The sequence below is a fragment of the Homo sapiens genome, chromosome 8 (assembly GCF_000001405.40).
Source record: "Homo sapiens chromosome 8, GRCh38.p14 Primary Assembly".
NCBI classification, from domain to species: domain Eukaryota; kingdom Metazoa; phylum Chordata; class Mammalia; order Primates; family Hominidae; genus Homo; species Homo sapiens.
Genome location: NC_000008.11, coordinates 55,944,563 through 55,969,078, shown reverse-complemented (window position 1 = coordinate 55,969,078; position 24,516 = coordinate 55,944,563). Strand labels below are relative to the sequence as shown.

Genomic DNA, 24,516 nt, shown 5'->3' with positions numbered 1-24,516 from the left:
AAATTCCTGGACTCAAGCAATCCTCCCACCTTGGCCTCCAAAAGGGCTGGGATTATAGGTGTGAGCCACCACGCCCAGCCTCAAAGAATATTTGATGAGTGAACTGTGCTTTGGAAAAAAGTGGAAACCTACCTAAGAAGGAGTGTGCTGCTGAACAAACTCTCCAACCTCCTATGGCTTCATCTCTAAAGCAAGACCTGTTTTTCCCCTAGAACTTTAAGTACCAGCCTTACGGGTAGCCTTGGTCAAGTTGTTTACCTCATCTAGGTCTCTGTAAAATGGGCATGTACTAGAGGCTATATTACAGTTTTGGGGGGTTGGAATCAAAGGTTGCATCCAAAGCACATACCATGATGGTTGACAGGTAGCAAGTGCTCAGTAAACGTTATGCTATCTCATCTATGACACAGAACAATAGTACTTAGCCCTCAGGCTGCTGAAAAGACTAAGTGAGATCACCCATGGAAAGCACCAAGAGCAGTCTGGCATATAGTAAGTGCTCAATAAATATTAGGCATTGTTGGCCAAGCTTGGTGGCTCACACCTATAATTCCAGCACTTTGGGAGGCCAAGGCAGGCAGATCACCTGAGGTCGGGAGTTTAAGACCAGCCTGGCCAACATGGTGAAACTCTGTCTCTACTAAAAAATACAAAAATTAGCCAGGCATGGTGGCAGGCACCTGTAATCCCAGCTACTTGGGAGGCTGAGGCAGGAGAATCACTGGAACCTGGGAGGCAGAGGTTGCAGTGATCCAAGATAGTGCCACTGCACTCCAGCCTGGGTGATAGAGTGAGACTCTGTCTCAAAAAAATAAATATATATATATATTAGGCATTGTTACATAGGAAAACTCATATTTATACCTATCATTAGGAATACTCTAAGTTAATTAATTCAACAATATTTACTGAACTCCTATAAGGTGTCTGGCCCTGAGCCTGGTTTCTGGGCTATATATGGCAACCCAAGCCACAAGAGCTAATTGGTTTGTTTGCTTTAAAACAAACAATGCCATTGTTTGGAAAGACTCTGAGTGACTGATATTTTGAAATACTCACAGATATTAAATAAGAAAATGTAATATTCATCTTTTGAATCTATTCAGCTATGACATCATACTATCATCTCCATTGTGCATGAGATGATTGTTAATCCTGGATCATTGCTTATGTTTCTTCATTACTTCTGAGGACTTCGTAAAAAATAATTTGGCAGTTTATTAGTATGTTTCCTGAACTGGAGGTGAACAAAGGAAGAAGGATGTTGATTCAAAGTCTTGTATATGAAGGTGATCACAGTAGAAGAAAAATTGATTGCTTGAAGTCTATTCTCCAGCAATTCTATGATTACATAGGACTTTAACCTCCACAAGTTTTAAAAAACATTAATATTTAAAAGTGACACCCTGAACACTTAGATAATGCTGAAAAGGAAAATGAATATTAGATAACGCTAAAGAACAAATAGAGGCTGGGTGCTCATGCCTGTAATCCTAGCACTTTCAGAGGCTGAGGCAGGCAGATTGCCTGAGCTCAGGAGTTCGAGACCAGCCTGGCCAACATGGCGAAACCCCATCTCTACTAAAAATACAAAAAATTAGCTGGGCATGGTGGCACGTGCCTGTAGTCCCAGCTACTAGGGAGGCCGAGGCAGGAGAATCGCTTGAACCCGGGAGGCAGGGGTTGCAGTGAGCAGAGATTGCACCACTGCACTCCAGCCCGGGCAACAGTGTGAGACTCTGTTTCCAAAAAAAAAAAAAAAAAAAAAAAAATGAAAGAGGAATTTGGTACTGAACAATCCGTACTAAATCTGTAGTATTAGAATTCTGGGAACTCTTCACATTTTAAGCATATGTATTTCAAAAATTCCTTTTTGAAATACATAGTAATTCATTTGATAAATATTTATTGGGGGCTACTAGATATGGGGTACTATTCTCAGGGCAATAGGTACACGCAGGCAGATGCAGAGAAAACAGGAGGATTAGATTTCAATTCTGTGACATGGATTACTTCTGGTGATTAGGTTTATAAACTGCTTTGTCTTCCCATATTTCCTGATTTTTCGGTAGTGGGTATACTGTTTGATAATTAAACTAGTTGAGTGACCTCTGAACACTTACACATTTTACTTTTTGAGTTTGAAGCCCTTGCAAGCTCTGGGCAGTGGGAGGAACTCACCCTTGGCCATGTACTCGGTGATGATGTAAATGGGCTCCTCCCTGGTGACCACAGCGTAGAGCCTCACGAGCTTGTCATGCTGCAGGGTCTTCATGAGGTTGGCTTCTTCCAGGAAGGCTTGCACAGACATAGTTCCTGGCTTCAGGGTTTTCACAGCCACCTTGGTACTGTTGTTATAGTAACCTAGGAAGAAAAAAGAAGGCGGGCATGCTTTATAAAACAGAAAATCTAGCCGGGGGAGGTGGCTCACACCTATAATCCCAGCACTTTGGGAGGTCGAGGTGAGTGGGTCACCTGATGTCAGGAGTTCGAAACCAGCCTGGCTAAAACAGTGAAACCCCATGTCTACTAAAAATACAAAAATTAGCTGGGTGTGGTGGCAGGCGCCTGTAATCCCAGCTACTCAGGATGCTGAGACAGGAGAATTGCTTGAACCCAGGAGGTGGAGGTTGCAGTGAGCTGAGATCGCACCATTGCATTCCAGCCTGGGTGACAGAGTGCGACTCCGTCTCAATTAAAAAAAAAAAAATTAAAACTTCACTTTGTAGATGCAGAGTTAGCAAAAAATTTAATTACAGATAGAAAAAGCCTGAGTTAAAACACTATGTAGTGATAAAATTAGGGGAGGCTAGATGAAAAGTATCTAGGAATTTTCTTTCTTTACCAAAAAATGTTTAAATTATTCAAAAATCAAAAGGTTTCTATGAAATAGTAGCAAAAAAACGTTTTTATTGGCACTCTACCATGAGGGCTAATATTTATTTATTTATTTTTAGACTACGTCTTGCTCTGTCGCCCAGGCTGGAGTGTAGTGGCACGATCTTGGCTCACTGCAACCTCCACCTCCTGGTTTCAAGCGATTCTTATGCCTGAGCCTCCTGAGTAGCTGGGTTTACAGGTGCCCACCACCACACCTGGCTAATTTTTGTATTTTTAGTAGAGACGTGGTTCCACCATGTTGGCCAGGCTAGTCTCAAACTCCTAACCTCAAGTGATCCGCCAGCCTCAGCCTCCCAAAGTGCTGGGATTATAAGCATGAGCCACTGTGCCCAGCCGAGGACTAATATTTTTCTCTAATAATAAAATGTTCTTTATTCAAGACCAAAAAAAACAAAACAAAACTCTATATATGCTATAATCCCTTACATACATATACATACACACACAGGCATACACTCACATTATAATCCCCATTTTAAAATACAGACATATTTTATAGATACACAGACACACACATATAAACAACAGTCTGGAAGAAAAGACACCAAAATATATCAAATGCTGGTTATTTCCAATGGTGTGATTACGAGCGATTTTAATTTTGTTCACCATATCTTTAACTATTTACCACATTTTCTTTAAAAAAGGTGTTCTTTATAAAAATTACTTATATATACTAACTTTAAAGTACAATATGCTAGAGTCAAACAAGCACTTCCCAAAATTTGCAGACAACTGGACTTGGGTGACTGTTAGTGAAAAAGGATCCCCCACTAAAAGGACAGGGAGCCACTCCCTCCACTCCTCCCCCACCCAGGAGATGCAGCAGGTGCCCTGGGAGGCCTTCAGGGGAAAAGCCTGCATTTGTTCACCCCAGCGTTTCCCACAATTTCTTGACCTCAGAACACTTGTTCAAGTAGCCTCTTACACCGCATGGAACACGCTCTGGGCAATACTGACTCCTTAGTATAGTTCCCCCGAGGCACCACCCTTCTGGGACTGGGATTGAGCACTTTAATCCTGACTTTCTCTTGGGAAAGCCTTTTCTCAGTAATTTGGCAAAGCAGAAATATTAATAATCATACTCTTCCTTCCTGTCCTCTCTTCTGCTTCCATCTTTCTCTTGGAAATGTTAAAAAAAAAATGGGGAGAAGGGAGTAATAGCTGCTGGTGTCACTGCAAATCTTCCTGCAGTTCCTGCTGCCTGGTGCGCAAAAGCTGGATAGCACCTGCCCTATCCACCTAAGGAAAGGTGACGTGGAGTGGACGGTCCCCTTTTTAGGGTGCAAGAGTATCTGTATGTGAATAGCATAGAAAGATGACTGGAAGCCTGCTGAGTAAAACAACAGTGATTATCCCTGGCTGGTAGAATTTGGAGTGACTTCTACTTTCTCTTGTTCTTTTCTATTCTGATTGGATTTGTCAATGAGTATGTACTCTTTTCTTTTCTCTTCTCTTCTCTTTCTTTTTTCCAGGAGAGACAGGGTTTTGCCATGTTGGCCAGGCTGGTCTTGAACTCCTGACCTCAGCTGATCTGCTCACCTTGGTCTTCCAAAGTGCTGGGATTGTAGGCATGAGCCACTGTGCCCAGCCAAGTATGTACTTTTTAAAAAATGATTTTTTTAAATAATAAAGAAATGTATTATACATCTATTTCCAAGCCTTCAAACAAATAATAAAAAGTTTATTTATAGCTAGCAGTCAACCTATCCAATGATGTTTCTTTTGGTCATTAAGACTGATTCCTCTATTAAAATGTTTTATTTTGTATTCCACTTTGGTTAATACTTAGGAGCTTGCAGTGCTCTATAGAAAAATGAGGCTAGACAAGGTGGTTCATGCCTGTAATCCCAGCACTTTGAGAGGCAGGAGGATCGCTTGAGCCCAGGAGTTCAAGACTAACCTGGGCAATATAGTGAGACCCCCTTCTCTAAAACAAAACAAAAAAAGAAAAGAAAAAGAAAAATGCAGTACAAGATAAGTGTTAGAACATATGGAGAAGATAGTAACATAAAGCTGACAAAAAAAAACCATCCTAGGTCCTTTTAAAAAGCTACCACCTACCTAAAATAATGGAATTATGAATATATTAAATTGTTCTGACATCTAAATGCATAATTACAAGCAATATGGCCTTTTCTGTAGATCTTAAGAGTTATTGTAAAGTACATTCCACCAACAAAAGCCTTTTAATATTACATTTAAATCAAAAAGGTTTTATTATAAATTTTTTAACGTTTATAAACCCTAACCTTAACCCCAGCCCTAACTCTAACCCTAAGTTACATGAGCATATCCATAGCAAATCACAGCAGGAAAATACATGATATAAAATAGATGAAAATACATAAACTATATGATACATATAACTGCAAGGAACTTGCATCCAGGATATAGAAAGAATTCTTACAAATCAATAAGAAAAATCAGAAGAAATAGGCAAAGACTTGGAAGGGCATTTCAAAAGAAGAAATTCATATGAGTAATAAACACGTGAAAAGTACTCAATCTTATTAGCAACCAGAGAAATGCAAATAAAGTCATGAGAAACCACTGCCGAGCTCAGCAAAAATTTTTAAAGTCTGGTAATATCAAGTGCTGATGAGCACCTGCCCCTTGGGAGGGACTCTGGAGCAGCTGCCCTAGGCCTCATTCTGTGTTCTTTGCTGAGCATCACTGAAATTCAATTGCAGAGCTTCTGTGACAACATCCAAGGTGTCCATGAAGGATGCTGAGTGCACACTTCCTTCCGGATAACCACCCACTGCCTGTGCTGCCTTGGGGCCCACATCTCTCTAAGTACAGCTCTGCTAGTCAGGAAAGGGGACGTGGGGACTGGCATATTGCTGGTGAGAATCTTAAGCTGGGACCAGCACTTTGCAAAATAAGTTGGCAATAACTTAGAAGAGCTGAAGATTCATACACCTTACGATCCAGCAAATCCACTCCCACTCACCCTAGAGCTCATGCATGCTTGCATCAGCACAAAAATGAGGCACAAAAATGTGCAGCGCATTGTTCATAGCAGCCCAAACTGGGAAAAACTCTGATATAGTTTGGATGTTTGTCCTCTCCAAATCTCATGTTGAAATTTGATCCCCAGTGTTGGAGGTGGGGACTAGAGGGAGGTATTTGGGTCATGGGAATGAATCCCTCATGAATGGCTTGGGGCCATCCCCGTGGTAAAGAGTGAGTTCTCGCTCTATTAGTTCACAAGAGAGCTGGTTGTCTAAAAGCATGGCACCTCTTCTGGTCACTCTCTTGCTCTCACTGTGTGACATGCTCACTCCCTTTTGCCTTCCTTTTTGAATGGAAGCTTCCTGAGGCTTCACCAGAAGCAGAGACAGGTGCCATGCTTCTTATAAAATCTGAAGAACCGTAAAGCAAATAAACATTTTCTTTATAAGTTACCCAGTCTCGGGTATTCCTTTAGCAAAGCAAAATGGACTAACATGAACTCCAATTTCATCAGTAAATGGTGAAATAAATGGATAAATGATCGTATATCTTGAAAACACATGCAGCACAGCACAATATGGCATGAAGATGAATAAACCATAGCCACACCCAAAAGCATGAATGCATCTCACCAATACCATATGGAATGAAGATGAATGAACCGTAGCCACAGATGCATCTCACCAACACGACATGGGATGAAGACGAATGAACCATAGCCACACCCAGAAGCACGAGTGCATCTCACAAACACGACATGAGATGAAGATGAATGAACTGTAGTCACACCCAAAAGCACGGATGCATCTCACCAACATCATAGGGACTGAAGATGAATGAATTGTAGCCACACGCAAAAGCACAGATGCATCTCACCAACACCATATGGCATGAAGATGAATAAACAATAGCCACACCCAAAAGCATGGATGCATCTCACCAACACAACATAGGATGAAGATGAATGAACCGTAGCCACACCCAAAAGCATGGATGCATTTCACCAACACCATATGGAATGAAGATGAATGAATTGTAGCCATACCCAAAAGCCACATGTATCTTACCAACACCACATGGAATGAAGATGAATGAACTGTAGCCACACCCAAAAGCATGGATGCCTCTCACCAACCCGTTGAGTAAAAGAGGCAAGACGTAAAAGAGCACATTTGGTATAATTCGTTCATACAAAGTACAAAAACAGCAAAACTGAGCTATATTTTGGGGGGATGCATACATCCCCATATACAAAAGTGGCAAAATTAAGAAGAAGTCAGAAAACCATCAGGAAGGTCGGAATAGCTGTTGTCTCTGGGGGACAGGTAGGGTGTGGGTGGGAGGGGATGGGTGGACGGTGGGGGCTTCTGGGGCTAGCAAGTTTCCTCTCAGAGGTCGACACACCAGTTTTTGCTTTGTAATTATTTGTGAAATTAGATATTTGTGTTTGCATTTTCTGTCTGCTTGTTACATTACATAGCAATAAAAGTTAAAGAAACAAAACCATTTCCCTTTTGCCATCATAAAAACAATGAAGCTCATGGAGACTTATAAATAGAAAAGTATGAGTAAAGGACGAAGGAAAAAAAACGCTTTCCAAGGTTAGGGGGGAAGTCATCAGGAAATATTGCAGCTGCATATATTTTAAATACTGATAAGGAGTTTGAGGTGAGTGGTAGATAAAGCAGCTGTGTCAAACATGGCCCAAGAATGGCGGCAGCTCCCAGATGATCTCTTAGGGCTGTGATATTGAAACAATAGGGTGGTTTTCATCCCTCTGTTAAAGGCATGATTTTTATTCAGTGCTAAGGATCAAATCATAGGTTTCTAAGATACTCTCTGGTAGTTTGAAGGTTCAAATTAACCTAGTCATGGAGATTTGGGTTGTCAATACAGATGAAAAATTATGTTAAAAAAAACTTTTTGAGCTAGTAAAAAGCGTCTTGTGGAGTGACACTTTGCCACAGTTAAAGAAAGCTGATGTGGCACCTTGAGAGCACTCTAATTCCGGCTGTGACTGGCTTGCTAAAAAGTGCCCACGTACCACAAAAGGGAGAGTGGTTTTTAAAAAATGCATGCAGTTGATTTTGGAAGTGGGTTGGTGATTAATCTCAAGGCAGTTGGCTCAAATGAGAATTTATCAAGCAAAATTCAATGTAAAATAAGTTTCCTTCCTTCCTCAGGGTCTCTTCATAGACCAAGCAGTCAGAGGAAACATCGTCCTTAGCCTCACTGCCCAGTTGATTCCCTGGGAATAGGACAATCCACAGAGGAAGCATGTCACCCAAGTCAGATGTCACAAGGATCACACAAACAAGAGGAAACAGCTTGAAGCAGAGACACCTCTTTCTTTTATCCCCACCCAGCCCCTTCCCCCAAAGAACAGGTCACTTCCTAGTATTTGTTCACTGCATTTCAAGCCAAAAAAATGCAGACCATAAAATGAAATGGGTTGTCCATGAACAATTCCTTATGTTTAACAAAAATATTAACTTACTGGGTTAACAGTGATAGAATTTTAATTGTATTTTTTCTATCAATGAGAAAAGCTGGCCTGCTTATCCTTTGAGAAACTAAAAAGGGTAAGAGAAAACTAAATTCTAGCAGCTCAAAATTGGGAGAGGGAGTATCCTTCAGTCTATTTGTAACATAAAATCACCAATCACAACTCTTTTGGTTGTATTCCCAATATTCCTCTGCTATGTGTATTCAACATATTTAAATTATTTCAGGAGTGAAGAAGGAGCTCGCTGACTGACAGGCAAACTCAGTCCCTACAAGCAAAAGATCCCAAGTCAAAATTTTCTATTTTTTTCTCTTCTATTTTCTTTTCCTCCCCTTCCCTTCTTTTCCTTCCTTCCTCCATTCAATATAAGACTGGAAGAAAAGCACAATTAAAAAATGAACGGTGATCAATGCCAATATCCTGGTAGTGATGTTGTACTATAGTTTTACAAGATGTTACCACTGGAGGAAACTGGGTAAATGGTACATGGGATCTCTCTGTATCATTTCTTTTATATATTTGCCAGCTTTATTGAAATATAATTCATATACCATGTCATTTACCCATTTAAAGTATATAGTTCATCAGTTATTTGCATATTCAGAATTGTACAATCATCACCACAATTAGCTTTAGAATGTTGTCATGACTCCAAAAAGAAATCCCATGCTCATTAGCAGTCACTCCTACCATACTCCCAGGCCCCCCAGCCCTAGGCAACCAGTCATCTACTTTCTAACTCTAGATTTGCCTATTCTGGACATTTCATATAAATGGAACAGTATAATATGTGCTCCTTTGGGCCTGATTTCTTTCACTTAACATAGTGTTATTATAAGTCATCCATAAAACAGCATGGCATCCATGTTGAAGTATGCCAGGTCATTTTTTTTTTTTATTGCCAAATACTCCATTGTATGAATACACCACATTTTATTGACCCATTCATCATCTGATGGACATTTCAGTTGTTTGTACTTTTTGGCTATTACAAATAATGCTACTATGAACACTCATGTACAGGTTTTTGCGTGGACATATGTTATCCTTTTTGTATTATTTCTCACAATGGCATGTAAATCCACAATTATCTCAAAATAAAAAAAATTAAAAAGCAAAAATACAAACAACTTCTATTTAGTGGGAAACCCTGGGCAATTTCTTTCCTCTGCTGTATAGCCTTTGCACTAATGTGACATATTTTCTTACTAAAGATATTATTTAATAACAGTGCTTTGAATGCTGTCAATTGAACTTACCTGCACAATTTCTTTCAATTGTTATGTAATCCCTCTGAGATAGGTTCCATTAAACCCCATTTTAGATGAGGCTCTACTGCCTCTGTCATTTAAAACGTTATTAGTAAATCAAGTAAAGAACACAATTTAAAAAGTGAGAAAGGGACTTGAACATACGTTTCTCCAAAGAAGATGTAGAAATGACCAGGAAGGACATGAAAAGATGCTTGGTCACTAATTATTAGGAAAACACAAATCAAAACCACAGTAAGATACCATCTCACATCTATTAAAATGACAACTATCACAAAAGCCAACCAGCCAACAACAAAAAAAATCCCCAAAACAGAAAATAACAACTGTTGGTGAGGCTGTGGAGAAAGGGAACACTTACACACGGTCAATGGGAATGTAAAATGGTGCAGCCGAAGTAGAAAACAGTACGGCAGTTCCTCCAAATTTTAGAGATAGAAGAATTACAGGATCCAGCCATTCCACTTCTGGATTTATACTCAAAGGAATGGAAAATAAGGTCTCAGAGAGGTATCTGTGCACCCATGTTCACAGTGGCAAATTCACAATAGCCAAAAGGTAGAAACAACCTAATTGTCCATCAATAGATGAATAAACAAAAGGTTATGTATGCATATAAAGGAATATCATTAAGCCTTAAAAAGCAAAGAAATTCTGACACATGCTACGACATAGATAAACCTTGGAGACATCATGCTAAGTGAAGTAAGCCAGAGACAAAAAGACAAATACTGTATGATTCTAATTATTTGAGGTACCTAAGGTAGTCAAATTCATAGAGACAGAAAGTAGCATGGTGGTTGCCAGAGAGGGGATCAGGGAGTTGGTGTTAAAGAGTACACAGTCTCTCAGTTTTATCAGATGAAAAGAGAGTCTGGAGATTGGTTGCATAACAGTGTAGATGCATTTAACACTACTGAACTGTACACCTAAACATCGCTAAAACACAAATTTTATGTCACGTGTATTTAACCACAATTTTTAAAAACGGAATGAGCAAATCTATTCAAGTGATGTATTTTCTCAAGATTTTTATCCTGTTTCAGTCTAAATAAAAAGTAAAAATTTGTATAAAACAATCAGATACTTTCCAACACTCCATTCTCTTCTCTTCTAAACTTGTTTCTCCTAGGCACCACCTGAATATATGTTAAGCAAAAGTTCTCTAAAATTAAGCTGTGTGCAGGAAAGAAGAGAAATTGGAGGATTCAGTGTATCTGGAATTAGAAGCAAGGCGGTTTTCCCAATCCCAGAAAGGACCAATGTTCTTAAGCTCCAGGTGTACAATTTTAGTGCAGACTTACACCTTACGACAGAACAGGGGGTGTAAGCAGGTCTGCTGAGGTGTGTGCTCCAGGCTGCCTAGCTCCTGACTTCCTGCTCCCAACCTCGCCAGGCACCCCCTGCAGGACGCACTGACACCACAGCTGACAGCAGCACTTTTGATGCCAGGCATCCAGGCTGGCAGCAACTGCATATTTATTTATTTATTTTTTGAGATGGGGTCTCACTCTGTCACCCAGTTTGGTGACAGCGGCGCAATCTCAGCTCACTGCAACCTCTGCCTCCTAGGCTCAAGCGATCCTCCCACCTCAACCTCCTAAGTAGATGGAAACACAGGTGCAACACCACCATGCTCAACTAATTTTTTTTTGTATTTTTGATAGAGACAGGGTTTCACCATGTTGTCCAGACTAGTCTTGAACTTCTGAGCTCAAGTGATCTACCTGCCTCGGCCTCCCGAAGTGCCAGGATTACAGGTGTGAGCCACCGTGCCCTGCCAACAACTGCATCTTTAAAAACAGTGTTACTAAGAAATAATTCACTCAAGCAGTTGGATTTGAATTACTTTGTTCACTTTACTTGTCTCTCAGGAGCAAATAGCATGCAATTTGATGCTTTATCCTGGCTTCACAGCTGAACAGGAGAGGCTAGAACAAGATTCCAAGCCATGACTTTATATGCAGGGCTACTGATTTAGGATGAACCAGTACATCCTGATTAACCTCCCTCTACATTTCTTTTCATGACAGACACGTTAATTCCTTTGCCAGCAAATATCCATAGGAAAGTCTAATTGGATTATTTATGGCTCTGTTTTATGATTAAAATTGGGGAAAATACACCAAAATATAGCTTCCAATAACTAGAATAAAAAACAAAAAAGTGACAATAATAAAAATAGGGCACACGGAGTCAGACTCTGGGAAACATCCCAGGTGCATAATCTCATTCTTCCTTTGAACAACTGAAGATTGGAGTTTGTCCACTTCACTGATGTGGAAACTGAGGCTAGGGAAGTCAAATTAGCTTAGAAATAGTGTAGCAAATAATTGAGTCCAGGGTTCCCAGATGCCAGAGCAGCCTGGCTCTCTCACTGCCTTGAATGACCTTGAGTAAGTTGCTTATCTGATTCTCAGTGATGTTGTTTATCGAATGATCACAGTAATGCCTCTCATTCACAGTGCTACAGCAATGAGTAAGTGAGAATGTCAATGCAAACACACTTAGAGCAGGGCCCGTAGAGCCTGTACACTCTTTTCTCCCTTCCTCCTGTCTTCTCCTCCTTCTCCCCACACAAAGTCACAGTAAGTACTCAGATGGACTAAGAGCACAATTAAGTGTGATTGCGATCCTGGTTTTCCTGCCAATACTCTCAGTGAACAGACGGAGAAGCCGGGAAGAGAACGCAGAAGTCCCTGGATCTTGACGTGAGCCAGTGGGGTTGGAATAGACATGTTCAAGGAGCAAGGGAGGAGGACAGAAAGGACTGGAGCTTTATAGAGAAGTGACGGCTTCTAAGAGGGAAGAGAATTCACAGATCGTGCTGAAACCATTTGGAGAAAGTTCTATTTACATAATCTTAAACTTCCCACAGAGTATTTATTTACTACAAAAGGGAGTAAAAAGTTGCCACGGAGAAACTAAATTTAAATGATCCATTTAAACTTTTGGATCACTTTAAATAAAAGTGATGGTGGATTACTGTAGATAAAATCAAATAGAACATCATTAAGAATAGGACCGGCTAATACTATGCCTCCTGACAGGTGCCCTGAGAACACAGTACTGCTTAGGTGCTTAAACACTCTTCACAAAACTCAGCAAGTCACGTCTGCACTTAATCTCAGGTGGTCAACGGCAATAATAACATGTATGTATGTGTACGTATATAAAAGAACAAGAAAATTAGGACAATATTAACAACTGGTGAATCTATGTGAAGGGTATACAATATTCATTATACTATTCCTGCCCCATTCTGTAGATTTGGAAAAAAATAAATATAAACATCAAAGGAGGAAAAAAGAAGCCAAGTCATTCTTTTTTTAATGAGCATATAATAGTTTTGTGGTTCTTGAAAAAGTTCAACAGAGGCTTATCACATGCCCCAGCAACTGAACTCCTAGGTTTATACACAAGAGAAATGAAAATGTGTCCACATAATAATTTGTATGTGAACATTCATACAGCATTATTCATAACAGTCAAAAGGTAAAAACAACTGAAAGGTCCACCAATGGATAAGTAGATAAACAAACTCTGTTATAGTCATGCAATGGAATATTACTCAGCCATAAAACAAGAAAATTCTAATACATTCTACAACATGGATGAACCTTGAAAACATTATGCTAGGTGAAATAAGCCAGACACAAAAGGGCAAATAAATGATTCCACTTATATGAGGTACCTAGAGTGGTTAAATTCATAGAGACAGAAAGAATGGTGGTTGCCAGGGGCTGAGGGTGGGGCGAATGAAGAGTGATTGTTTATTGGGTACATTGTTTCCTTTCGGGATGATAAAAACATTTTGAAAGTAGATGGAGGTGGTGGCTACACAATATTGTGAATGTACTAAATGCCAGTGGATTGTTCCTTTTAAATGATTAATTTATGTCAGGTGAATTTCATGTTAATTAAAAAAAGAGCACACAGAGAAATGAGGAGGAAGACAACAGAGTGTGCATGGGAAGAGACAACATTCAGAGTGAGCACTCACACCCATGAATCTGCTGAGTGGAACAGAAACTGAGGACCTGATTTGCACTGCCAGCCAGTTCTGACACATGCCGATCCACACGGAGAATGTGAAGTCATGTAATTACAGTTTACCTGAATTCTGCAAATATGTGCAGAAAGACTTACAGTGCAGTAAGAATTAATTAATGATAGGCTGGCTCAGTATGTGCCGTGTTTAAAAGTCACTTCTGCTCAAGAGGGGCCAACAGGAGAAAGTGAGCAAGGCTATGATCCCAGGGGCCAAGACTGTAGAGGGAAAACCTGGATGCAGAGGTGACGTGTCCACGTGGCTGCAGCTTCTGTTCTGCCGGGGCTGGAGAGTGTTTAAAAGCCATCTGCCCCTTCCATTTAGAAATCACATTTGCTTTCACTCAACAAAGCTGACACAGAAAAAGTGACCCAGTCAGATGTGTGTGACCTAACATGTTACTCTTTCCAGAAATAACCGCACATTCCATTAGAACCATTAAAAGAATGTTATGCTTTAGCATTTTTGTTCTAAAAAACTCTTATCACCAAAGAAGTTCACATTCACTATGAAAACTTTTATTTATTTATTTATTTATTTATTTATTTATTTATTTTGAGGCAGGGTCTCACTGTGTCACCCAGGCTGGAGTGCAGGAGTGCCATCTCGGCCCACTGCAGCCTCGACCTCCTTGGCTTAAGTGATCCTCCCACCTCAGCCTCCCAAGTAGCTGGAACTACAGGCACATACCATGGCACCTGGCTAATTTCTTTATTTGTAGAGACAGGGTCTGCTATGTTGCTCAGGCTGTTCTCAGCCTCCTAGGATCAAGCAATCTTCCTGCTTCAGCCTCCCAAAGTGCTGGGATTACAGGTATGAGCCACTGTGCTCAGCTCACTATAAAAACTTTTTTTTAAAGTAGGTAGATGAAAAGAATCCCCTGGAAAAAGCCACTGCTATAATCTTGCTGCACTTCTTGCCAGCCTGAGAAGGCAATACTTAATGTTAAGAAATGATTTCTTCATGACGTGACTTTGAGAACCTTAGAAACTTTCTTGGTGACCCTCAAATTGTAATACATTGAGGCTTTCTATTAAGCCAATGGGTTCCAGCCCTAAGATAACCTTTCCCAGAGATGGAAGCAAATTTCTTGCACTTGAGCCGTGCATCCAGAGAATCTGGCGATGAGGGAATCATGAAGAAATAGGCAGATGATCAAGATAAATACCCATTACTCCCCTCCTTACAAACATTAAGAGAATTACTAAGTCGCAAGAAAGAGCAAGAGCTGAAGTAAATAGATTTTGCAGGCCAGTTCTCAGCCCCAATGGACAGAGGAAAACAAAATAAATGATGCTTCTGACATAATTTAGTGTCTGGCTCAGAAGCTGATCGAAATTGGCTTGAGCCTTTACTTCTCCTGTCACCATCTCTAGAAGGACATAGATCCCCGAGCCGCACACTTACCCATCCAGACTTCCCCAAACTGCCCAGCGCCAAGCCTTTTCACCAACTTGATGGACTCCCGGGGGATCTCCCAGGCATCTTTATCCCATGGCTTCTGTGGCTTGGGACTAATACAAGCCTTCTCCAATCTTCTGCACAAGCCATCTGCCTGCTCTAATTTGAAAGGGAAAAATGAAGGTTAAGAAATGCAATACTTTGTACTTTACCTGTGTCTATAAAGAAAAGTTGAACACTAGCCTTATAGTGTCCAACCTGCCGCAGTCTGTGAACTAAAATGCATCCTTGACATAATTGTGACTTTTGAAATTTGTGGGTTTTTTTTGTTTTTCTTTTTTTTGAGATGAAGTTTCACTCCTATTGCCCAGGCTGGAGTGCAATGGGCGATCTTGGCTCACTGCAACCTCCGCCTCCTGGGTTCAAGAAATTCTTCTGCCTCAGCCTCCAAAGTAACTGGGATTACAGGTGCCCACCACTATGCCCAGCTAGTTTTTATATTTTTTAGTAGAGACAGAATTTTACTACGTTGGCCAGGCTGGTCACAAACTCCTGACCTCAAGTGATCCACCCGCCTCGGCCTCCCAAAATGCTGGATTACAGGTGTGAGCCACCAAGCCCGGCCTGAAATTTATATAAGAAAAACCATTTAAAACATACTTGATTGTATTCTTCAGCACTGCTAACATACATGAACAAAAACAACAAAGCCAACAGACAACCACAGGCTGCCAGATTGTCACACTTAATAAAATGTGGTTTCAGATTACTAATCCCACATTAAGCTTCACAGGGCACCATAGTGGGGACTCGGTCATGTCACCACTGGACCCCAGGCCCCAGAACACAGCCAGAGTACCACAAGCCCTCAGCATGTGCCGGATGCACACAGGAATGGGAGGGCGGAGGAAGGCAAGAATCTACAAAATCGGAAGCACGTTGCTCTCTCCGTGTTTTGGGACTCAAGCAAACCTATAATGTGCATCCCCTTCGAGCAGGTCATAGAAAGGAGCCGGGGCAACAACCACTCAACTGACTCCAATTACACAGGAAAGGGACCCAGAGTCTCAGGCCCAGGCTTCTCAGGACTGCAAAGTGGCACTGGAGACAGGGACATTGACCTGCCACTTCTAAATATTTCAGTGGTAGTGTTATATCCGTTTGACTTTACCAAGAATATACATTACTTTTACACACACACACACAAACACAGATCTGCAAATCTGCATTCCTATTCCAGATATTCAGATGCATTGTAAAAATATATGCAAAGACAATATATATTTTTCTCTTGGTAATTGTGGAACACTGAATGTCAAACAGCATGTACTAGGTGGGAAGGACTGGGAGAATTATTCACAAGGATCAAATCTTACTTTGTGTATTTAACTGTAGATTAATTAATTGCTTTTATTTTAGTATTTGTTTTTTGAGACAGAGTCTTGCTCTGTCACCCAGGCTGGAGTGCAGTGGCGCGATCTCAGCTCACTGCAATCTCCGCCTCCTGTGTTCAAGTGATTCTCCTGCCTCAGCCTCCCGAGTAGCTGGGACTACAGGCACGCACCACTATGCCTGGCTAATTTTTTTTTTTTCTAGTAGAGATGGGGTATCACCAGGTTGGCCAGGCTGGTCTCGAACTCCTGACCTCAAGTGATCCACCTGCCTTGGCCTCCCAAAGTGCTGGGATTACAGGCGTGAGCCACTGTGCCTGGCCTAACTATAGATTAATTTAGAACCACTTATAGAATATGACCTGCAACTGTATCTAAGAGAAATACGATGCATAAAAAGTTTTAATATAAAAATAGCGTTTGACGTCTTATACATATCATAACAAATATATCTTGTCTTGTTGAACCTTCAGTTTTTACTTACTTTGGTAATGTTTAATCATGTCGCTGATACAGGGAAAAGTGATTCGTGGAGAGATGTAATAGCCCCCATTATCCAGACTTCTAATTTTGTAGTGCTTAATAACATCACCATGCACAGGGTCAAAGTCTCTGACAGACAGAGAGAAGCTTCCTATGGGGGGAAAAGTGTAAGTAAATGTTTATATCTCACAAATAAGATCTGCATTATACAACAACTGCAGTACACATTTTGTGATACAAATATGCAAAATACATATATTTATGAAATTTGTATAAAATGCATAATTTTAAAAGTCCTATAAAAATTCTACTTGACAAATGAAGCTGGCATTTTGTTTGCTGTGTAGCTTGCCAACATACCATTTTCTTTCTTCATGATAATTTTTTTAAAATTATTATTTAGCTACATTTAAATTTTTTTAAGTTACTTTGATTTTCTTTTTTTTTTTTTTGAAATAGGTTGTTGCTCTGTCACCCAGGCTAGAGTAGAGTGGCACAATCATAGCTAACTGCAGCCTCCACCTCTTGGGCTCAAACGATCTTTCTACCCCAACCTCTCAAGTAGCTGAGACTACGATCATGCACCACCACAGCTGGCTAATTTTTTAATTTCTTATAGAAACAGGCTCTTGCTATGTTGCCCAGGCTGGTATCAAACTGCTGGGTTCAAGTGATTCTCAGTCTCGGCCTCCCAAAGCATTGGGATTACAGGCCTGAGCCACCACGCCCAGCCTAATTTTCTTTGTCTTAAAACTTCAGGATTTATTCAAATAATAATGCAAAAGGCTCAGCAAACAAAGCCTGGTAAGAACTGGCCACAATCATGTGTGCTTTCTACAGTACTTTTCTTTTCTTTTCTCTTTTTTTTTTGAGACAGTGCCTCACTCTGTCACTCAGGCTAGTTAGAGTGCAGTGGCGTGATCACGGCTCACTGCAGCCTCCCTTCCCTGGGTTCAGGTGATCTTCCTACCTCAGCCTCCAGAGTAGCTGGGACTATAGGCATGTGCTGCCAGGCCTGGCTAAGTTTTGTATTTCTTGTAGAGATGGGGTCTTGCTGTGTTGCCCAGGCTGGTCTCTAACTGCTGGACTCAAGTGATCCTCTCGCCTCAGCCTCCCAAAGTGTTAGGATTACAGGTGTGAGCCACCACACTCAACTATATTACTTTTAGTAGCACAACTAATCACTGAGGTTTGTTATTTGTTATCAAACCATAAAACTTTTACTACCAGAGCATACTATATGCCCTTTTTTCCCCTTGAGTAGCTCTAGAATAGTTTCTAAAAATAATTTCCTAAATAGTGTTTTAAAAGAGGCTTTGAACAATTTCCTACCTTTTAATGTTTCACTTTCTCTAATAAGGAAAGCTCCAGCGCTATTTCCTGGTGCCAAAAGCTGCCTTTCTGCGTCCTTCCTGGTTATATCCTTGAAAAACCACCTGTGAAGACATTTCAACATTTCCTGCATATTATGTTCCACGGCAAGAAAAAGGTGAAGAATATTAACAAGAAATCCAATGTGGCAAATAAAGCCACCAAGATGACAACACATGAGGACTCACTCTTCTGTTTCTAAGGTGTTGAGTTTGGCCACATAGTTGCTGGGGATGAAGCCTTCTTTTTTTGTTAAAAGGGACTTTGCTTTCCACCATTCTCCATGCCTAGAATAGAAATACACATCAAAAAGAAGCTAAAAGATTACATACTCCATGCATGTATCAAAATATCACAGATATCCCATAAATATGTATTTATGTACAGATATTACATATCAATTAAAAAATTAAAAATAAAGAAAACATAGACTTACCACAGGACCCAGCAACTATACTCCTTGACATATACCCAAGAAAGATGAAACCATAATGTCCACACAAAAACTTGTACATGAATGTTCAAAGCATCCTTATTTGTAAAAGCAAAAAGTAGAAACAACCAAAATGCCTATCAACTGATGAATGGACAAAATCTGGAATATCCATCCAGTGGAGTATTACTCAGCAGTGAAAGGAATGGAGTGCTGAGAGATGCTACAACAGGGATGAACTTTGAAAACATTATGCTAAATAAAAGAAGGCAGTCAAAAAGGACCACATATTGTATGATTCCATTTATGTGAAATATCCAGAATAGGTCAGTCTTCAGAGATAAAAAGTAGATTCGTGGTTTCCTAGGGCTGCAGAGAATGGGAGAGTTGAGGTGACAGCTAAGGGGTGCAGGGTTTCCTTTTGGGGTATTTAAAATGTTCTAAAATGGATTGTGGTGATGATTGCACAATTCTGTGACTATACTAAAAAAATCACTGAATTGTACACTTTAAGTAGATGGATTGTATGGTATTGTGAATTCTCAATAAAGCTATTAAAAAGAGAGAGAGAGAGACAAAGAAAAGAAGCCAGGAGTGAGGGTTTTGAATGTTCACAACACAAAGAAAGAATAAATGTTCCAGATGATGGATATGCTAATTACGCTGACTTGATCCGTACACACTGCATACATGTATCAAAATATCGCTCTGTATCCCATGACTGCATATAATTATTCCATGTCAACTAAAAATAAAAGGAAAAAAGTGTTTATATCCAAGACTCAACAGCTACAATAGCAATTGTCTCAAGATGTTTGTTTAGGATGGTGAAGGCGGGTGGAGAACATCTCTGGAACCCCAGAATCCAGTGGGAAAATTCACTCTCCGTGATGGAATTAAAATATGTTTAGAGACAGAAGCAAAGGAAAACAGCCTTACAACTAAAGCACGCATCACTGCGATCAGGGGTGCACAAAGAAGAGTTGGTACAAATGGCTCCCATCTCACAGAAACAAAAGGTTTGTAACTTGCCCCAGGATAGCTAAGAAATGCTTTCAAATCCTTATAGAAATGAGAGTCAAGGGAATACTGGTCCACAGTTCATGCATTATAAACTCCTTTGTTCAAACATCTAGTTATCATAGAGATGGACACTATGAAAAGAAGAAAACCATAAGACAATTCCAAGCAAGTGAGCTTCAGCACCATGCTCGAGTCCTCAGCAGAAAGGCAGGCATGGAGCCAGGGAGGAGGCAGGGATGAGCACTGGAAGAAGCAAGCAGGTAAGCTGGTAATGGGGGAAGGAATGGGTCCCTTTGAGCCTTAACTGCATTCCTCTATAAATTCCACACACAGACAGGATCCTTGTCTGTAAGGCATGAAGGCAACTAGAACTAATACTAAGCTCTGCATCCTCTTTGCTTATGTCATGTTTAAACACATGCATCATGCTCACATCAACCCCATGATCTAGGTACTGTCATTCCCATTTTATAAGTAAAGAAACCAAGGTATAAAGTTTAAGGGTCTTGTCAAGGTCATACAGCTATCAAGTGGCAGGGCCAGGATCAGGCTTAAGTCCCTGTTCAACCCATATGCAACATTGCTCTCAACCACGGAACACCTTGTCCTTAATAAGGGAGTCTCCCCCTCAAACCCTATTTGGCAGGTCACAGTGACATTTAATGCAAGATTAGTAAGAAAAGCAAGCTAGAATTAAAGCAACTGGAGTTTCTTATTCTGAGCACTGTCCTGCATGCCTATGGTCTGACACTGCCACATGTCTGAGTCAGCAAGAGGGGGTTGAGGAGATGACGACACTCAGGCGTCCTCACAAAAGCATGGCAGCTGCTGAGTTGAGAATTTCCCAACACAGCTGCTGTAGCTCAGTACCCTTAGAACTCAAGCTAGGCTGGGCCCATGAACCCAGTCTAAACATGAGTAATATAACAAAAGAAAAGTGACATTTCAAGTATCATGCATGGGCCACACAGACCCAAATTTCTTAAGGTGGCAAGAGTGGATAAAGAAAGAAACCAGGCTGGGTGTGGTGGCTCACACCTGTAATCCCAGCACTTTGGGAGGCCAAGGCAGGAGAATTGCTTGACAGCAGGAGTTCAAGACCAGCCTGGGCAACATAACAAGATCCCATCTCTACAAAAATTTTAAAAATTAGCCAGGCCTGGTGGCACATGCCTGTAGTCCTAGCTTCTCAGGAGGCTGAGGTGAGAGGATTGCTTTAGCCTAGGAGTTCAAGGCTGCAGTGAGCTATGATCATGCCACTGCATTCTAGCCTGGATGACAGAGAGAGATCCCATCTCAAAAAAAAAAATTGTTTTAAAGAAAAACCACTGTCTGTCTTCAAAGGGAAACCCCCTGAAGTGTGCTCACAGACCGACTTAAAAGGAAAATCCCTTTGGCTCTATTCCTTCCACTGCCCACTCCCTGTGGGTAGCAAGGAGGCCTCATACCCATTACAAGAAAGGGGCCGGGCTATGGCTGTAGCACCAGAAGCAAGACAAGGGGACAGCCTGCAGGACTCAGTGGCCTGAGGAAACGAGCAGCCGTGGCGTGCTTGAGAGCACTTACTCCTCCAGGACTTTCATCTTCTCTCCTTTCTTGAAAGACAAGTCGTCCGGGTGGATGCCATCATAGGGGTACAAGGCTACCACAATGTCTCCTTGTTCCTCTGGATCTAAAGATGAACACAAGAGAACACCTGTAAGAATCCATCAGCAGAAGCGTTTTAACAAACCTCATGGGGCACAAAGGATGAGAGGAAGCACTAAGAGGGGGCAACTGGAAGAAGGACATGTGCTTCCTGCCTAGTGGGCTCAGGGTCTGCACGGCCCACAGAGAGTACCTTGCTGTATACACTGTGTCCAGTATTTGTTCTTGCAAATCACTTAAAACTAAAACTATAAATACAACTCTATATTTAAGAAATTATACACCCATGTTCACAGCAGGATTATTCAAAATAGCCAAGATGTGGAAATAATGCAAACATCTATTGATGGAGGAATGGATAAACATCATGTAGCATTTTGGTTTTTCTCTTTTGAGACGGAGTCTCGCTCTTGTCGCCCAGACTGGAGTGCAATAGTGCAATCTCGGCTCACTGCAACCTCCACCTCCTGGGTTCAAGCTATTCTCCTGCCTCAGCCTCCCCAGTAGCTGGGATTACAGGCGCCCACCACCACGCCTGGCTAATTTTTTGTGTTTTTAGTAGAGACGGGGTTTCACCATGTTGACCAGGCTGGTCTCGAACTCCTGACCACAGGTGATCTACCTAACTTGGCCTCCCAAAGTGCTGGGATTACAGGTGTGAGCCACTGCACCCGGCCAGGGCATATACTTACAAGGAAATATTATTCACTATTAGAAGGAAATAAATTCTAACACTTTCTACAGCATGGATGAACCTTGAGGACATCAGGCTAAGTGAAATAATCCAAACACAAAAGGACAATTACTGTATGATTCCACTTCTAGGAGGTACCTAGAGTAGTGAAATTCATAAAGACAGAAAGAGCGGAGGTTGCCAGCGGCTGGGGGAGGAGGCAATGGGGACTTATTGTTTAATGGGTATGGAGTTTGAGAAGATGCATTCTGGAGATGGAGGGCGGTATTGGTTGTACAACAATGTGAATGTACCTAATGCTGCTGAAATGTATACTTAAAAATAGTTAAGAGGGTAAATTTTTATGTTATATATGTCCCACAATAAAAAAAAATAAAAACATTTAGGACAATCACTTTATAGAAGCTCTAATAGTAAAGAAAAAAAATTTTAACTATGTTGCTATGAAAACATACCTTTAGTTTGAAACCTCTGTCCAGGTAAAAGCTGAGATTCTGGAACCTACGAGAGAATATTTGTTAGAAAAAAAAATTCTGTTTAGCTTTTCTTACTCACATTCGTGTTGTATATATGATTTTTGTAACAGTAGCAGATGTTAGGATGGGCTCATTTATTAAGTCAGAAAGAACAGGAGCACAGAGGGAAAAACCTGTAGAGGTGCATCCTGCCCTGCTTGGCCAGTGACAGGGCTCTTTATCACTTGCTGTGGGTGGCAGGAAGGGAGCGAGGTTCTGGGCAGGTGCCAGGTGCTCACCTCATCCTAGCTCCTCCTCTTCTTTGGTGACAGAGCCCTAATATTATTTGGGGTGGCAGTTTGCCCAGCTCAATGAGTGTGCTTCCAAACTCTCTAGCCCCGGGCAGAGGGCAGAGGGAGTTTTGGTCCGCAGATCGGTTGTGCAGGGCTTTGCTGTCAGCTCCCCTTTTCCCTTGCCTCTTTCTCTCTCCCTAGAAACAAGTGAAGGCTGGAGTCTTCACATAGAAAGCAAACACCAGCGGCAGCAGGATGGAGACGGAAGAGGTGGGACCCTGGTGATTTCGTGGAGTTGCCGTCCCAGCCTGGGACTGCCCATCTGAGGCTTCCCCAATTGTATAAAATTGCATGGTCAGGGCTCTGTCCCTGGAGGCTGAGAGCAAGTCCCATCCCATCCAGGTTTTCTTGGGCTGACCCTGACTCCATCACAGGGACAGATGGCATCCCCTGTTATTTCAGTGGGGGGGTGAGTTATTGGGAAGGATTTGGTGGCACAGAAGACCACCTCAATTACCTTTAAAATCAAATTCTTTTCTTCACAGTGCCACATGAGGCTGTGTGAGGCCTCTGGGCCTCTTGTAAGATAGATGCTGTCAGAGGCCTATACCACAAGTCATGTAACTTTTCTGTCTCTCTTTGATTAAAGTGGCTTCACAGAATGGGACCAAAACAGTTTGTACTGAAATTTAAATTTCTGATGAAAGCCCATAAAATCTCCATTTCAGTGAGACAGGGAAAATTACTACATTGTAGTACCAGAAAAACCCATGGCTGCATACTATCCTTCAAATGTTTATGTCAGGAAGTTTTATGTTGATTTTTTAGTCATTCAGATTTGCATAATTTGGATATATGATCTATTTTATGTGATTTAGAGGAAATAACTAGAAGACTAGAAACTAATTACATCATTTTAAAAGCAGCAAGCTGATTTTTCAAATTTCAAAAAGCCCTTAACTTACAAACATTTTAATATGCTTTTTATAAGACCGAAACACATGTATGCCACACATATACTATTGCTCTAGATTTTTCCTTAAAATGGCTTTTTCTAGAATGTTGTTGAATTTGCATCAACCCTACCTCACCTTCTCATCAAATTCCCCTTTTAATCAATCCATAGCGTGCATTTTGTCATATCTGGCCAGGGCTGAGAGTGTTGGTTATGGCCATGGAATAAGGCCAGGCTAACTGGCTCATGAGTGGAGGGCATCTGTGACCACAGAAGGGGCAAAAAATGGTATACAGGAGGGAATTGAAAGACTTCAAGCGTGTTTACTACTTCTGCTTTCTAACTTGATTTTTAATCCCCTTTATTTTGAACAAGAGGAAAAAGCGGTGTGTGGGTTTGCACACTATTCTCCTTGACTTTTCTGAATAAAGGACATCTTTATTCATCATTTAAAAACAAAAAACAGGCTGGGTGTGGTGGCTCACGCCTGTATTCCCAACACTTTGAGAGGCCGAGGTGGGTGAATCACCTGAGGTAAGGAGTTCAAGACAAGCCTGGCCAACATGGCAAAACCCCATCTCTACTAAAAATACAAAAATTAGCCAGGCATGGTGGTGCATGCCTGTAATCCCAGGTACTCGGGAGGCTGAGGCAGGAGAATCGCTTGAACTCAGGAGGAGGAG

At 41.1% G+C, this 24,516-nt stretch overlaps 1 protein-coding gene across 3 annotated transcripts in view; it reads right to left on the bottom strand.

Moving 5' to 3' along the window:
- Positions 1-24,516, bottom strand: part of LYN (LYN proto-oncogene, Src family tyrosine kinase) — a 134,335-nt gene that overhangs the window by 45,091 nt on the left and 64,728 nt on the right. For all 3 annotated transcript variants that reach the window (NM_002350.4, NM_001111097.3, XM_011517529.4), the window contains 7 exons: positions 22,586-22,631; positions 21,356-21,461; positions 18,522-18,620; positions 18,295-18,398; positions 16,964-17,113; positions 15,095-15,247; positions 2,182-2,364 (listed from right to left, as the gene is read on the bottom strand). In NM_002350.4, the coding sequence (NP_002341.1) occupies positions 2,182-2,364; positions 15,095-15,247; positions 16,964-17,113; positions 18,295-18,398; positions 18,522-18,620; positions 21,356-21,461; positions 22,586-22,631 (841 nt within the window). The remainder of the gene's footprint in view (positions 1-2,181; positions 2,365-15,094; positions 15,248-16,963; positions 17,114-18,294; positions 18,399-18,521; positions 18,621-21,355; positions 21,462-22,585; positions 22,632-24,516) is intronic.